General features: G+C 40.3%; 1 protein-coding gene across 5 annotated transcripts in view; it reads left to right on the top strand.

The window, feature by feature from the left end:
* Nucleotides 1-17,941, top strand: part of CLRN1 (clarin 1) — a 46,837-nt gene that overhangs the window by 22,110 nt on the left and 6,786 nt on the right. The window contains exons 2-4 of one of the 5 annotated variants that reach the window (NR_046380.3): nucleotides 5,211-5,361; nucleotides 9,129-9,308; nucleotides 10,371-10,409. Coding sequence is in view for 4 of the 5 variants with exons in the window: in NM_001256819.2 (NP_001243748.1) it covers nucleotides 6,899-7,070; nucleotides 9,129-9,261 (305 nt within the window). In the remaining variant the exon portion in view is untranslated. Of the gene's footprint in view, nucleotides 1-5,210; nucleotides 5,362-6,653; nucleotides 7,071-9,128; nucleotides 9,309-10,370; nucleotides 10,410-17,941 lie in introns of those variants that run through there. The other 4 variants (NM_001195794.1, NM_001256819.2, NM_052995.2 and 1 more) reach the window with 4 other exon arrangements.

The raw sequence follows: 17,941 nt of genomic DNA, 5'->3' as shown, positions 1-17,941 counted from the left end.
TTGATTCTGTGTCTTCAGAATTGTGAATAGTGCTGCAACGAACATTCGTGTGCTTGTGTCTTTATAGTAGAATGATTTCTATTCTTCTGGTAGTAATGGGATTGCTGGGTCAAATGGTCGTTCTGCTTTTAGCTCTTTGCAGAATCACCATACTGCTTTCCACAGTGGTTGAACTAATTTACACTCCCACTAACAGTGTATAAGTGTTCCCTTTTCTCTGCAACCTTGCCAGCCTCTGTTATCTTTTGACTTTTTAATAAAAACCATTCTAATTAGTGTGATGGTATTTCATTGTTGTTTTGATTTGCATTTCTCTAATGATCAGTGATGTTGAGCTTTTTTTCATGTTCGTTGGCTGCAGGTACATCTTCTTTTGAAAAGTGTCTGCTCATGTCCTTTGCCCACTTTTTAATGGGGTTGTTTTTCTCTTGTAAATTTAAGTTCCTCATAGATGCTGGGTATTAGACCTTTGTCAGATGTATAGCTTGCAAATATTTTCTCCCATTCTGTAGGTTGTCTGCTTACTCTTTTGATTGTTTCTTTTACCATGCAGAAGCTCCTAAGTTTAATTAGATCCCATTTGTCAATTTTTGCTTTTGTTGCAATTGCTTTTGGTGTCTTTGTCATGAAATCTTTGCCAGGTCCTATGTCCAGAATGATATTGCCTAGGTTGTCTTCTAGGGTTTTTATAGTTTTGGGTTTTACATTTAAATCTTTAATCCATCTTGAGTTGATTTTTGTGTTTGGTGTAAGGAAGGGGTCCAGTTTCAATATTCTGCATATGGCTAGCCAGTTATCCCAGCATTATTTATTGAGTAAGGAGTATCTCCTCCGTTGCTTGTTTTTCCCAGGTTTGTTGAAGATCAGATGGTTGTAGGTGTGTGGCCTTATTTTGGGGCTCTCTATCCTGTTCATTTGGTCTATGTGCCTGTTTTTGTACCAGTACCATTCTGTTTTGGTTACTGTAGCCCTATAGCATATTTCAAAGTTGGGTAACATGATGCCTCCAGCTTTATTCTTTTTGCTTAGAATTACCTTGGCCATTTGGGCTCTTTTTGGTACCATATGAAGTTTAAAATAGTTTTTTTTCTAGTTATGTGAAGAATGTCGTTGGTAATTTGATAGGAATAACATGTAATGATATTGATTCTTCCTATCCATGAGCATGGGATGTTTTTCCATTTGTTTGTGTCTTCTCTGATTTCTTCAAGCAGTGTTTTGTAACTCATATTGTAGAGATTATTCACCTCCTTGCTTAGCTGTATTCCTAGGTATTGTATTCTTTCTGTAGTAATTGTGAATGGGATTGCTTTTCTGATTTGGCCCTCAGCTTGGTATTGTTGGTGTATAGGAATGCTAGTGATTTTTTGTATCCTGAGACTTTGCTGAAGTTATTTATCAGCTGAAGGAGCTTTTGGGCTGAGACTAGGGGGTTTTTTAGATATAGAATCATGTTCTCTGCAAACAGATTTAGTTTGACTTCCTCTCTTCCTACTTGGATGCCCTTTATTTCTTTCTCTTGCCTGATTTCCCTGGCCAGGACTTCCAGTACCATGTTGAATAGGCGTGGTGAGAGAGGGCATTCTTGTCTTGTGCCAGTTTTCAGGGAGAATGCTTCCACCTTTTGCCCATTCAGTACGATGTTTGTGGTGGTTTGTCATATATGGCTATTATTATTTTGAGGTGTGTTCCTTTAATACCTAGTTTATTGACAGTTTTTAACATGAAGCAGTGTTTAATTTTATTAAAAGTCTTTTCTGCCTCTGTTGAGATAGTCATGTGGCTTTTGTCTTTAGTTCTGTTTATGTGATGAATCACATTTGTTGATTTCCTTATGTTGGACCAACCTTGCATCCCAGGGATGAAGCCTACTTGATTGTGGTGGTTTAGCTTTTTGATATACTACTGGATTCAGTTTGCAAGTATTTTGTTGAGGATTTTTGCATTGATGTTCATCACGGATATCGGCCTGAAGTTTCTTTTTTTGTTGTGTCTCTGTCAGGTTTTGGTATCAGAATGATGCTGGCCTCCTAGAATGAGTTGGGGAGGAGTTCCTCCTCCTCAATTTTTTTGGAATAGGTTCTGTAGGAATGGTACCAGCTCTTCTTTATACATCTGGTAGAGTTTGGCTGTGAAGCCATCAGGTCCTGGGATTTTTTAGTTGGTAGGGTATTTATTACTGATTCCCTAAATAGACCGATAATGATTTTAGAAGTGGAGTCGGTTTTTTCCTGGTCCAGTCTTGGGAAGGTGTATGTATCCAGGAATTTATTTAGCTCTTCTAGGTTTTCTAGTTTGTGTGCATATGGGTGTTCATAGTAGTTTCTGATGGTTGTTTTTATTTCCGTGGGATCAGTGGTAACATTCTCTTCATCATTTCTTTTTTTTTTTTTTTTTTTTTTTTTTGAGACGGAGTCTCGCTCTGTCGCCCAGGCTGGAGTGCAGTGGCGCGATCTCGGCTCACTGCAAGCTCCGCCTCCCGGGTTCACGCCATTCTCCTGCCTCAGCCTCCCGAGTAGCTGGGACTACAGGCGCCCGCTACCACGTCCGGCTAATTTTTTGTATTTTTAGTAGAGACGGGGTTTCACCGTGTTAGCCAGGATGGTCTCGATCTCCTGACCTCGTGATCCGCCCGCCTCGGCCTCCCAAAGTGCTGGGATTACAGGCGTGAGCCACCGCGCCCGGCCCATTTCTAATTGTGTTTATTTGAATCCTCTCTCTTCTCTTCTTTATTAGGCTAGCTAGTGGCCTATCTATCTTATTAATTTTTTCAAAAAACCAGCTCCTGGATTTCTTGATCTTTTGAATGGTTTTTCATGTATCAATCCTTCAGTTCAGCTCTGATTTTGGTTATTTCTTGTCTTGTGCTAGCTTTGGGGTTGACTTGTTCTTGCTTCTCTAATTCTTTCAGTTCTGATGTTAGTTTGTTAGTTTGAGATCTAACTTTTTGATGTGGACATTTAGTGCTATAAATTTAACTCTTAACACTGCCTTAGCTGTGTCCCAGAGAGTCTGGTATGTTGTATCTTTGTTCTCATTAGTTTGAAAAAACTTCTTGATTTCTGTCTTAATTTAATTATTTATCCAAAGTCATTCAGGAACATGTTGTTTAATTTCCATGTAATTGCATGGTTTTGAGCGATTTTCTTAGTCTTGACTTCTATTTTTATTGTACCGTGGTCTGAGGGTGTTTGATATGACTTTGGTTCTTTTGCATTTGCTGAGGATTGTTTTATGTCCAATTATGTGGTTGATTTTAGAGTATGTGCCATGTGGTGATGAGAAGAATGTATATTCTGTTGGTTTTGGGTACAGAGTTCTGTAGAGGTCTATTAGATCCATTTGGTCCAATGTTGAGTTCAGATCCTGAATATCTTTGCTAATTTCCTGCCTCCATGATCTAATACTGTCAGTAAAGCACTGAAGTCTCCTACTACTATTGTGTGGGAGTCTATGTCTCTTTATAGGTCTCTAAGAACTTGCTTTATGAATCTGGGTGCTTCTGTGTTGGATGCATATATATTTAGGATAGTTAGATCTTCTTGTTGAATTGAACCCTTTACCATTATGTAACGCCCTTCTTTGTCTTTTTTTTTCTTTGTTGGTTTGAAGTCTTCTTTGTCTGAAATTAGGATTGCAACCCCTGCTTTTTTCTGTTTTCTGTTTGCTTGGTAGATTTTCCTCCATCCCTTTATTTTGGACCTATGGGTGTCCTTACATATTTTATCTTTATCTATCCATCCAGCCATCCAGCCATCCATTCATCCGTATCATTTTTAACCAATAAGGACTTTTAAAAGCGCAACCACAACACCATTAACATAACCAATAAAATCTATAACAATGATAAAATATCATCTAATACTCAGTCCATGTCCAATTTTCCCTCGCTATCTCAAAATCGTCTTCTTAGAAATGGTCTGTTCAAATGAGATCACATGGACAGAGGAAGGCGAACCTCACACTGTGGGGACTGTTGTGGGGTGGGGGGAGGGGGGAGGGATAGCATTGGGAGATATACCTAATGCTAGATGACAAGTTAGTGGGTGCAGCGCACCAGCATGGCACATGTATATGTATGTAACTAACCTGCACAATGTGCACATGTACCCTAAAACTTAAAGTATAATAATAAAAAATAAAAATAAAAAAATAAAAAGTGAAAAAAGAAAAAAAAAAAAAAAAGAAATGGTCTGTTCAAATCACAAACCAGATTCAGAAACAATAGCCATACATTACATTTTATTAATATGTCTCTTAAATTTCTTTTAATCTATTACAGTCTTTGGAATTTTTATGTCTTCGTTTATCCTTCCAATTATTAAAAAAAAAGTATTTTTGTATTCATTGAATAGACAATGCTTGCAGAAAAGTAAAAAAAAAAAAATTTAGTACAAAAAGGTACATAGTGAGCTGTTCCTTAGTCTCCCTTCCCAGAAGCAATGTTACCACTTTTGTACAAATAGTCTCTGCCTAGACACACATGCCAGTCCCTAAGGTGGCTGTAACAAGGTGGTTAAGAGTGAGAACATGAATTCAAATTCCTATTATGCCACTCACTAAGTATAAATCTTGGTCATGGTACATGCCTCTGTGCCTCAGTTTTTAATAATGGTACCTACCTCATAGGGCTGTTGAGAGAATTAAATCAGATAAGTGCTTAAATAACTATTAATATTTATTATTATTCACATTCCCTTTTGGCTTTTTTCCCAAATAGCAGAGTGGTGCACATATGTCTTCATTTATTTGGCTTGTTTTTTCACCTCACATCACATTTTGATGAATAATTCCATACATGTTGTTATAGATTTGCTTCATTCTTTGTAATCATTGACTAATATTCCATTGTATGAATATGCTACTGCTAAACATGTACGTTATTTCCAACCTCTTATTATCAAGAAATGCTGCAATGAATATCCTTGTAATACTTTAGTGGATTCATGTGCAAAAATATTCATAGGATAAAATCCTGAAAGTTAAATTGCTGAGCTAAAGGGTATGTGCATTTTAATGCTTTATAGATTGCCCAGCTGCCTCAAAGGAGGTTATAACAATTTACACTCCCAAGAAAAATGCACAAGGGTCCCCATTTCCCCATACCCTAGCTAACACAGGATATTGCTAAATGCTTTCATCTTTGTAAACATGATGTATTGAAAATGGTATCTCAAAGTTTTAATGTGCATTTTTCTGATTGTGAGAAGATAAAGGAAATGTAGTACAACTAAACATCAGCAGTCAAATGACCTGGCCATGACTCCTGAGTGAGGACACTGGTAAACACCATCAGGATCCAAACACCTCTGTATTTACGAAGAGGATGCTCCCTATTGGATAGCACTAAGCTTATTTCATGTATGTACATATGTAGTTAGTTAATTACATCCAGCGGTGGCAAAGGGCTTGTTCTGACCCAATGAAACTTTCTCTCCTGGCCCCCTTCCAGCATGTGGTCAGGAGTAGAGTGTTGTGGCCATGAGGCATGCATTTGTACAGATGACTACTTACTCCTCCTTGAAACATTTTTTTCCATTTGCTTCCCTGCTGTCTCACTCATGGGTCTGCTCCTAATTCACAAATCACTCTTTTCCCAGTCTTCTTGGTTGGGTTTTCTCCTCTTCTGTGCTTGTAGACATGGGGGAGCCCCAGGGCTTCTCTCTTGAACTACAGCTTCTCCCTGGGTTCATCTCCTTGGGATGTCTGTTCCAATGGGTTTAAATACTAGGGCTAGGACTAGGGAGAGGTCATTGAGGCACTTAGCACATAAAGTTTAAGGAAACATTCTTTATCAGGCCCATGCAAGTGCAGGACTGGCCCTGGAGGGTGACTACCACCTTACCTTTTCCACCCTAGGCACCTTGTTTGCCTTACCCTAGCCCCAGTCCTCTTTAACACCCCAGTCTTCTCCCTGGACCTCCAGAAACATAAATCCTATTTGACATTTCTACTTGGAGGTTTTAAGGTAACTCAAACGTAAAATATCTAAGACAGAACTCTTGCATCACTTCCCATCCTGGGGCCCAAGCCTGTCTCTTCTACTAGTCTATCTCAGTTAACAGCATCACCATTTATTCAGTTGCTCAGGACAAAAAATTTGAAGTAATCCTTGACTCTTCTTTTTTTTTTTTTGAGACGGATTCTCACTCTGTTGCCCAGGCTGGAGTGCAGTGGTGGGACCTTGGCTCACTGCAACCTCTGCCTCCTGGGTTCAAGCAATTCTCCTGCCTCAGTCTTCTGACCTCGTGATCCACTCGCCTCGGCCTCCCAAAGTGCTGGGATTACAGGCGTGAGCCACCGCACCCGGCCTGGATTCTTTTTTTTTTTTTTAAACAAGTCCTATCTTCCATCTCCAAAATGTATCCCAAATCTGACAACCTCTCCCACCGTAGGCCAGCCCCCATCTCTCCCCTCTGAAAATAGCCTCCCTTAGATCTCTGGACATTTGTTCTTCCCCACCCCCTTGTGATCACTATTCAGCATTCAGAATGATCTTTTAATATTATGAAGGAGACTGTGTTCCTCTCCTACTTAAAATTCTCTAGTGGCTTCCTAATAAATTTAGAATAAAAAGCCAACTCCTCGCCATGGTCACCAGGCCAGGATCCAGTGGGTACAACAATCTGTTCCCAGCACAATAATCCCACTTCTGCCTCCCCACCATTCACCAGGCTCCACTGCACTGGCTCATTCCTGCCTCAGTTGTGCTTCTTTTCCCTGGAAAGTTCTTTCTGTAGATCTTTAAAGGGTGATTTCCTTCTCAACATTCAGGTGTCAGCTCGTTTCACTTTCCTGACCATGCCCATCCACTCAGAGATCACTCAAAATCCCATTACCCTATTTTATTTCTCCATCATATGTATCACTATCTGAAACTATCTTGTTGTTGATGCAGGCTATTTTCTTGACCCCTTCATGGGACTCCCAACAGGGGTACCCCATTTACTCAGCCTGCCCTGCTCAACCTCTTGCAGGAGGGAGCACACGAGTGAACGAGTGCAGGAACCAGCTGGCTGCTTTAGTGCTGTGAGGAGTAAACTCCATGCAGGCCCTGCAGCAGCAACCAGGTAGGGGTGCCTGCAACCCCAGGGCCCCAGAGGGTGTGTTACAATGCTCTCGTAGCTCTGCCATCTGTGGACAGCAGTGTGTTGTCAGCTCAGTGGGCCCTTTGCTTCATCATGTAGGGTGGCTGCCCTCTGCCTGTGAGGGCAAAGGGCCAGGGTGACAGTCTTTTTGGGTACCCACAATTTGTGCATCCTGAATTCTTGTTTGGTGCCCAAGAAGAATGGGGTCACACAGATGAACTGAAGGATGGTGAATGCAGAGAATTAGCAATGAAAGTGGCTCTCAGCAGAGAGAGAAGCTGAAAAGGGAATGGGAAGGGCAGGTCACTCTCCCCTGAAGTCAAGTCACATCTCTCCAATGTCCAGCCACCATCTCTGAAGTCAAGTTTCCTCTCTCTGATGTCCAGCCACTTCTCCTCTCTACTGGCTGAGTCTGGGGTATTTATAGGCAGAGGATAGGTGGTGGGGCAGGCCATACATAATTTTGGAAAAGGCAACATTCTATTGGTAAAAAGACATTATTCATAAAGAACCAATTGGGAAAGAGCGGGCACACAGGGATGGAAGTTCTCACTTTGGGCTGCAGGTTTCAGGCTTTTCAGCTCAAAAGTGAGGTTTTTCCAGGGACCTGCCCCGTCTGCCTAAAATTTCTACACTTCTGTCATTGATACCGCTGGATAACAGCTCTCCTATAAAGTTCAGGGGCTTAAAACAAAAATTTACTAATTCACCCGGACAGTTCTTGATAGGGTCTCTCCTAACTGTTGCAGTTACATAGCAACTGGGTTGGAGTCATCTTTTCTGGGCTTGACATCCAGGACAGCTTCTTCCCTTGTGTGTCTGGTGCCTCAGTGCTCCTCCAGGCAGCCTTTCTCTCCAGAAGAGTAGCCTGGACTTCTTGGCAACTCAAGCTTCCAAAAGAAAAAAAAGCAGAGACTGCTGGTTCTCTTATCAAACAGGCCTGGAACTGGCACAATGTACTTCTGCTGCCATATTCAGGAGGTCAAAGCAATCGAAGGCCAATCCAAGTTCAAAGGCATTGGAGAAAAATGAGAAGTGTCACTTAAATGAGAAGTGACACATGCGTAAAAGGGGGAAAAGCATTGATTGTGGCCATTTTTGGAGATAAGCTATCACGTTTATTTGTTTGTTTGCTTTCTAATGGTCTGTCTTCTCCCATTAGGTTATAAGCTCTGTGAGACAACAGGAATCTTGTCCATCTTGTTTTATGGCTCTACTTCCAACACCTAGAATAATGCCTGGCACATAGTAGGTGCTCAGTGAATAACTTAAGCACTTGATACATGTTTGGGGAACTAAAATGAACAGAATTAAACTTCCCCAGATTGGTCCTGCCAGATTTGCTGATGCCAAGCATGCTGATGCCTCACCAGATGAAAGAAGCCCTAAAATGTAGGGTTTCGCTTTCTCTGCAAACAAGAAAAACTTGCCCTGAACACAAAATCTAGAAATAGATTTGGCGTGTTTTCTACATTGAAATATTTCCCGTAGTACCAGAAATTATTTTCCCACAGCTTTGTGCTACATTAAAATATTGAAGTTGACTGAAAATATCTCCATTCTTTAATCTTGGTGTAGACTAGAAACAATTTTTTTGTAACAAAGTAAATATGAAAACTTCCTAATATTTGAACTCCCCAGATATCCCCAGATATCTCCAAACTTAAAATATCATTGCAAGTTAAGATAAATTTTTTTAAATGACTACCGAGAAAGGTCATTAAAGGCTTGGTTATTAAAATGTACAGATTTGGGTTATAAAGCCAGAACTTATTTGTTTAAATCATTACATATGACCAAGCACAGAAAATAAATTACCTCAAATCTCCTCTTTGCTAATTTTTACTGGTAAACTCTATAAAATGATCCTATCTTTAAACCTTTTTGTAAACCCCTTATAAGTTAGTAAGTGAGAATGTATTCATCAGAAGGATTTTAGTGATGTTTGAAATTAAAAAAGAGAGATTTGATTTTTAAAATTATACTTGCAGACTACTGCTAATGAAACTTCTTCTAACCCTAGTTTTGTCTTATCTTCAGTTTTTCCAGATTTGCTCAAAGCAATCCCAGTGAGCATCCACGTCAATGTCATTCTCTTCTCTGCCATCCTTATTGTGTTAACCATGGTGGGGACAGCCTTCTTCATGTACAATGCTTTTGGAAAACCTTTTGAAACTCTGCATGGTCCCCTAGGGCTGTACCTTTTGAGCTTCATTTCAGGTAAGTACAAAATTCTACCTCTGAAGACAAATGTGCTTTTCAATATGTCAAAAAGACCGTCTACCTAAATATAAAGTTATAATCTTAACATATATACATGGATGCACACTGTAGTATTATACATAATAACAAAAAGTGTGGAAATACCACACTTGCTCAACAGTAGGGAATTCAATAAATACTTTATGGACATCTATATGAATAACTGTGATGCTGACATTAAATTATATTTTTGAAGATGTAATCAAGAGGATAAACGCTTGTCTCAAAAAGTTACATGGGAAAAGCAGTATGTAAACTTATATAAACATTGTGAACCTAATTTGATTATATATATAAAATATAGGGAATATACATATAAAATACATATATGTATATATGGGGGCTATATATATATATATATGAAAGAGATAGATAGATAGATAGATAGATAGATAGATAGACAGACAGACAGACAATACAGACTCCAATCTGTTGGTCGTGGTTGTCTCTGACCCATGACACTATGGGGGACTTTTATTTTTGCTCATACTTTTCAATATTTCTTAGTGTTCAATAATGTGCTATTATTTATACATAATAATAAAAATAAATAAATGGCATCAAAAAAGAGTAAAGGGCCAGTGTTCCGCCCACATATGAGCAGCCATATTCAAGCCTGTAGACACTTTGTGTAGCCTAATGCTAGGTGTATCTGGGCAAGGATAAACTCTAAAGCCAGAAATTAGTTCATCAATAAACATGTGCTACTCAATAGCTAGGGCTGATGGAAAAGAATATAAAACCCAGTCTGTGCCAAATGGTGCTTACTATCTGCAAGTGGGAGAAGGAGAAAGACGAGAAAATGAAAAATGTGTGTATAATTTATATGTAGCTGTTCTGTAGGAGATCTCTGACTTCACCCCATTCTAACTTTGCAAAAAGATCCAACACTTTGTCAGATTCCTGGGAGGCAAGTAATTTTATTGATGGTTTCATGGAGGGATACAGAACGATAACAACTCACACAAAGCAAACAATGTAATGAAAATCTCTATTCGACTGTTTCTTTTTCTCCTGAAGTTGCCCTTTGGCTGCCAGCTACCAGGCACCAGGCTCAAGGTACTTTCTTGCTCTTGACACTACTCCCTTCTCTCATACAATTCAACCCCAACCACAAACGTGTATAGATCTCTCTCTCTATAAAACAAAGGCCTGTAGTTAACAGGAGGTCACTTGCAGTGTAGCCTCTGTTCATTGTTACTTGTGCACACTGCTTAGGGTCTCACCCCATCCACATTCTGCTAATCACATTATTCACCCATCCAATGTAGATCTCTCCAGTGGAGATTCTGCTAATATTTTCTTTAGATTTGTCACAAGTATATAATACAGTTTTAAATTGTACAGATGATTATCCTATAACAGAAGAGTCTAAGCCTTTTACATCTTTGTATCTCTAACGAAAGCATTCAGCATGAAGCTCTGTACACAGCAGACAATTCAATATGAATTTGCTGACTTGAAACAGCAAGCCTAGAAAGGAGATGTTAACTTGGTCACTTAGACAGAACAGGTTTCAGCAATCAGAATTCAGATGACATGGAACTGGTAGAACAGGCGCTTTGAAGCAATAGGACATGAGCCAGTGAGGAGAGGGATGGAATATCATAAACAAAGGCCAAGGGCTTTGCAATCAGAGCTGAAGAGCCAAGAGCACAGGCTCAGGGTGTGGGCAGACTGAATGAGAAAGTGATTCAATCACATGTGAAAGTCCAGATGAGAAGAGAGAGTTGGGATTACTTCTGCTCACCAAACATCCAAAACCAAACAGGTGGATCCGGGTGGTGTGCTGTTTTACTGATGACCATTACACAGAATTTTAACAGAAGGAATGTAAAGCAGTGGTTCTCAAACTGGAGTTCCCAGATGAGCAGCGTCTGCATCATCTGGAAACCTGATAAAGCAGCAAATTCTCAGGCCCTACCCCAGACCCACTGAATCAGAAACTTGGGGGTCTGGGGGAAGATGGCCATCTGTATTTTAACAATCTCCCTTCAGGAGATTCTGAGGCTGGCTCAAGTTTGAACTACAGGTAGTTGGTTCAACAGGTGTTGGTGGACTGACAAACAAAAAGAGACTCCGAGGTAACTCCAAGATGGTAATGTCAGAAAGCAGCTACCACCCCTAGGGCTTGGGGGAACCAACAAAAGAGTTTGGCATTGCCAGAACCTAGAATCTTGAGGAGAGGCCCCAGAGCATTGTGTCTCAGACCTTGAGGACTTGGCACTGGGACACCATGAGGGGTTTCTGGGTGTGGGAAAGGGCTGGAAACTCCCCAGTTGCTGCCACCAGGGAGAACTACAAGTGAAGTGGAAGGTGTGGGCCTTTCTCCCTTTTCTTTTCTCGTCTTCTCTCTCCCCCTGGTGCTCATGTTTGACAGAAAACAGCTGAAAAGGCAGAACTAGTTTGGGGAGTCTTGACCTGGCATCATAAAGCAGAGAAAAGCAAAGCTGGAGTGAAGGTGAGACACAACAGCTCATTAGCAGCAACAGCCGTCTAGCGCTCCAGCTTCTGAATGAAATTCTGAAGAACAGCGCACTTGGAAGACAAATTATTTGACAGTTCTGACAGACGACCAAACTAACAGCATTTGAAAAGCAAGATGACTCAGAGAATACAGAATTTAATCCAAATCCCAGATCCTATCTCTGCCTTTGGCCAGGCCTAATGCAAGGAGAACCTGAGCACACAAATATATGCAGGAATGATCAGGACCTGTGCCTGCATTCTATTCTGTCTCACCCACCTTCAAATTTGTTGTAAAAACATGGGCTCAATAAAGGTTTGTGAATCAGGGAAGGAAGAGAAGGGGAGAAAGGAAGGGAAGGAGCCAGCTCCAGATCTGTGTCTTGCAGAGGATAAAGGCCAGTGTTTTTAGATCACCCAGTGTTTTTCTAAGCCCCCAATACTTATTTTGAAATATCAAAATGTTCAATAACTAAAAAAAAAACCGTTACAACAATAAAACATGTTTGAGGGTCAGATGGACTGGCAGTTTGTGACCTCTGGGGATAAACAGGTCACTTTGGAATCACAGACTTCCTCATTCCCCTTAAATCTCATATGGTACCCAGAAGCCCTTGGAACTTTGGAAGGTGTTTATTCACAGTTGTAATGTCCATGCAGACCCTGGCTCTAAGACCCAATTGTGTAAGGGTAGGTTTGTAGCCCTTATCCCAAACATTCTAAGTGTGAGCCAATGCGTCACACACTCAGAGGCCAGAGACTGTATTGGGGTCCTTTATTTCACGTACGAGTCACATTCCATTAAGAGACCCCAGAAGTCAGCTCTCTTCCACTGACTGGTTCTCTTCCCTTGTTTCTCTTGCCAATGTGTGCTGCCCAGGTGGCAGTGCTCACTGTCAGCAGAGAAGAAAAATGCTTTCCTCCTTGGACCTCTTTTCTCTTTTTCTCCTCCCTACTCACATTCAGGTTCCCTAAGCTTCCCCGCTCCTTGTGCTGAAGTCATTCTATGGTCATTTCTTCAACTGTCTACTTCCCTGCTGGATGGGCACCCAAGACTTGGCATCCTGGGGCATGTAGAAAGGGGAAAGGGAAGGGAAGGGAAAAGAAGTCCTCCCAATTGTCTATCTGGACCTTTCCACACTGCCCAGAGTACTGCTATGGGCATCTCCTTATGTCTCCCGATGTGGTGCATGCCAGACCCTGCAGGTAGAAAAGGAAAGAAAGCAACCCATTGGACCAGGCCAGCAAAGGCTTCAGTCACACAGCTGGCTCATACTTATGGCTTCATATTCTGTTGCCTCTTGAACCAGACATTTCTTCCACTCTCATAACCTCCAGTTTAGCTCGTATTCCTCAGCATTCTCCATGTAATATTGTTGCATGAAACCCATGCAAGTCAGCCAATTTGCTCTTTCTCATCTTGTCATTTATAAATTGATGCTGAGAAGTCTTTTTCCCAAGGTTTTTAGTAATACCTTCATCATCCCCCATAGTTCATTTTGGGCAGTGATTCGCTTCTTTGACTGTACATTAGAATCATCTGAAGAACTTTCTAAAACTACTGATCTCAGGTCTCACACAACACTAATTAAATTATAGTCTCTGGTGGGGTAGGGCTTGGGCACTGCTATTTTACCTTAAGCTCTCTGGAGTCATTCTAATTTGTAGCCAGTGCTAAGGGTTGCAATATAAGTGAATATATTTCACGTATTTGTCAAACATTGACTGAGTGCCCATTATGTGCCAGCCATTATAATAGGCACTGGTGATCCCACAGTGAATCAGGCACACAATGCTGTCTTCACGGAGCTTGTTGTCTAGTGGGAGAGTCAAACAAAAGTGTATATCAATAATTAAGTGATTACAGATTGCAATAATTACAATAAGGGTGATAAACAGGTTGCTATAATATACAATAGTATTGCCTTTCACCAGACATTTCTTAAAGAGGTAAATCATCTATCAGACACCTTTTAAAAATCTCATCTAATTTCAAAAGTGTACATAAATAATTAAGTGATTACAGTTTGCAATAATTACAATGAGGGTGATAAACAAGTTGCTATGAAAGAGAAAGATAGCAGAGATCTGGCTTTGAGATGGTGGTCAGGGAAGACTGCTCCAATAGCTGAGTTCTAAAGCTAAGAAGGAACTGAGAACCTTCACAGAACGTCCCAAGTAGAAGAGAAAGCACACTGAAGACTCTAGGGAAAGAGGTCTGCTTGTTGTAGGAACCGAAAGAAGGCCAATGTGGCTAGGTGCTGGGTAGTGAGGGGAAATGGCACAAGGAAAAAATGAGGTTAGAGAGATCAGTTGATACCAGTTAATGTTGGACCCTAAACATTAACCATGGTAAGTCTTTTAGAATTGATTCTAATTGCAATGAAAACCTTTTGAAAGATTTTAAAAAGATATCTGATAGCTGATTTACCTCTCTAAGAAATGTCTGGTGAAAGACAATACCATCACATTGGAGATGGAAAAAGATGAATGGATTCTAAAAACATTCTGAAAGTACATTCAAAATGTTTTTCAGGTAGCTTATGCAACTAATAAATAGTGGTGGCATTCTGGGTAAGACAAGGGAGGAGCAGGCTTGCAGTTTAGGGCAAGAAAGGGGTGGGGAGAAGAGCTCAGCACTAAAATCATGTGTTCCATTTGGGGCACATCGAGTCTGAGTTGCTATGAGACCACCAAGTGGAGATGCCAAGTAAATAGTCAGTTACATGAATCTGGAGTTCAGTGAAGAGGTCTAGAAGAAAGATGTATATTTGGGCATTATTCGGATATAGATATTATGTAAAGCAATAAAATTGGATGAGATCACCTAGGGAGAGAATGCACATAGATAAAAACTGACCTAGGACCACTTCATGTCTAAAACACCAAAAGCAATGTCAACAAAAGCCAAAATTGACAAATGGGATCTAATTAAACTAAAGAGCTTCTGCACAGCAAAAGAATCAGAGTGAACAGGCAACCCACAAAATGGAAGAAAATTTTCACAACCTACTCATCTGACAAAGGGCTAATATCCAGAATCTACAGTGAACTCAAACAAATTTACAAGAAAAAAACAAACAACCCCATCAAAAAGTGGGTGAAGGACATGAACAGACACTTCTCAAAAGAAGACATTTATGCAGCCAAAAAACACATGAAAAAATGCTCACCATCACTGGCCATCAGAGAAATGCAAATCAAAACCACAATGAGATACCATCTCACACCAGTTCAAATGGCAATCATTAAAAAGTCAGGAAACAACAGGTGCTGGAGAGGATCTGGAGAAATAGGAACACTTTTACACTGTTGGTGGGACTATAAACTAGTTCAACCATTGGGGAAGTCATTGTGGCGATTCCTCAGGGATCTAGAACTAGAAATACCATTTGACCCAGCCATCCCATTACTGGGTATATACCCAAAGGACTATAAATCATGCTGCTATAAAGACACATGCACATGTATGTTTATTGCGGCACTATTCACAATAGCAAAGACTTGGAACCAACCTAAATGTCCAACAATGATAGACTGGATTAAGAAAATGTGGCACATATACACCATGGAATACTATGCAGCCATAAAAAATGATGAGTTCATGTCCTTTGTAGGGACATGGATGAAGCTGGAAACCATCATCCTCAGCAAACTATCGCAAGGACAAAAAACCAAACACCGCATGTTCTCACCCATAGGTGGGAATTGAACGATGAGAACACATGGACACGGGAAGGGGAACATCACACACTGGGGACTGTTGTGGGGTGGGAAGAGGGGGGAGGGATAGCATTAGGAGATATACCTAATGCTAAATGACGAGTTATTGGGTGCAGCACACCAGCATGGCACATGTATACATATGTACCTAACCTGCACATTGAGCACACGTACCCTAAAACTTAAAGTATAATAATAATAAAATAAAATAAAATAAAAAAACAAAAATTGATGTAGGACCAATTCCTGAAGAACACTGACAGTTAATTTTTTGGTTTAGGAGGAGGAGAAGCCAGCAAACGACACTGAGTAGCAATATCCAAAGAAAAAGAGGAAAAAGGAAAACTGGGAGATTATGAGTGTCCCAGAGGGAATGTTTCAAGATTACCATCAGCAGTGAGCTTTGTGTAAAGGTGGCCTCCTGTAATAGAGGTGCGGGCAGGAGAAGGCAGAATAGGGAAAAGGGGGTGAAAAAGCTTCCCTCAAGATTTATAATACAGTGGAAGAGAGAGACAGAGAGAGAGAAAGAGAAAGAGAGAGAGAGAACTTAAGGAGGTAGAGGAAGAGAGAGAACCAAAAAAGAGGGAGCTGAGTATAGAAGCAATTAGATTCATAGTTTTTAGTTGCGGCAGTGATATTTGAGTGGGGGCCTTTTATATATTCCATTCTAGGTGTTTCCCAGTTGATGGGAGAGGGTCTTACCTAGATCTGCATGTAAAAGGGAGTAGGCCAGCTGGCAGACTTGACATGGATCAGTGGTAGAACATCCTAGCAGTTCTGTGAATACTCTCTGAGAATGACATGAAAGGTATTGGTTCAGGCCTTTTGGAGGTGATAAAAACCACCAAAATGTGGACTTATTGCAAATTGTATTTGTTACCATTTGCAATGATTATAATTATTCTCTTATATATAGGCTTTCTTACATATAGCTTCTCTTACACATAGCGTCATGAGTTATGCCTTCTCTTACATATAGTGTCTGCTATGAGTTATGCCAAGCAGGGCAAACAAAATTGCTGCCTTTCTTTAAAAAGAGGACGCTCCTAGTATGGGCCTAATTAATTATGATAATTACAGCTATGGCATGGAACATAAGCACATTCATATACACAAAGACAATAAAATAAAGAACAGTTCAAAAACAGAACAGTTACATTATATATCAGTTTCAGTATGAATAATACCCTGGACTCTGAAATATGTCTGGGGCACATTATTCTGTAATTGGTGGTGAAAAAAAATCTGCATCTTATCTCTACGCCAATCCTTATGAAGGAGCTGTTTTTCAGGAGTTCGAGAAAGAGACACAGGGATGTCCAGTCATCAAAGCCGCAGAGCCTGAGGAAGAATAAAGGATTTGTGGCAGGAAAACCCAGTAATGAATGTATTCTGCTAGTTTCTCAGCATAGAACTTAGAAAAGAGGCCACAGAAGGAAAAGAGAAGTAATGTTAGACAGCTGATGTTGGCAATGGGCAAAGAATTTCATTCTCATATGCAGGGCAGTGGCTAAAGGGGCAGTGTTGTGAGGAATCACATTCCAGGTCATTCATGTCCAGGGTGTGGTAGGAGGACTGTGTTTCATTTATTTTGTACATGGCCCAGCTATGACCTTGTGCAAGGAAATGCTTAATCATTTTCTATCACAGTTGCAAAGAGATTCTTATCCTACTCAGAATGTACGTCTTCTCTTCTGTTTCATTTACAGTCACAACCCAAGTCCTTGCTTTGACCTCCAAAGCACCACTTGATGTATCCACTTCAGAAACACACACAGACAGCTCACCTCTTTCTATCCCTTACCTTCCTCCCCTCTTCACTCAAACCACCTACTTCCTTTGCATTCACTCTTCCTTCAGCCTGAAATAATCTTCCTCCAAATATCTACCTTCTCACTCCCTCACTTCTCTCAAGATACACTTAAATGTTATATTCCCTATGAGGCCTCCCCTGGCCATCCCTCCCCAGCCTTCCTATCCCCCCTCTCTGCTTTATTTTATTCTCCTTAATATATATCACACTCTGATAAACCATTGAATGTACTTATCAAGTTATTGCCTCTCTCTCCCTTTCCATTGTCTCCATCACTGAGAGCTCTGTGAAGAAAAGGATTTGTACCTGTTTCATTTAGTGCTGTACCCCCAGTTCCCACAACAGCGCAACAGGCACTCAATAAATAGTTGTTGAATAAGTGAATAAAACAGAAGTAGCTGCATATTTTCTGGTAACAAATGATATTCTTCTGAAAATGTCATATTTTCAGACATATTTCCGAAAATAAATTCAAATTAGATAAACATTGTATTTTTAGACCATTTCTTCTTTGCATTAATCATCCTTCTCAATAATATAACATTTGTAAAACTTAGGTTAGATATGGGCTCTTCAACTTTCCATTACA

Source organism: Homo sapiens, chromosome 3, assembly GCF_000001405.40.
Source record: "Homo sapiens chromosome 3, GRCh38.p14 Primary Assembly".
Classification (NCBI taxonomy): domain Eukaryota; kingdom Metazoa; phylum Chordata; class Mammalia; order Primates; family Hominidae; genus Homo; species Homo sapiens.
This window is presented reverse-complemented; position numbering and strand designations above follow the sequence as displayed.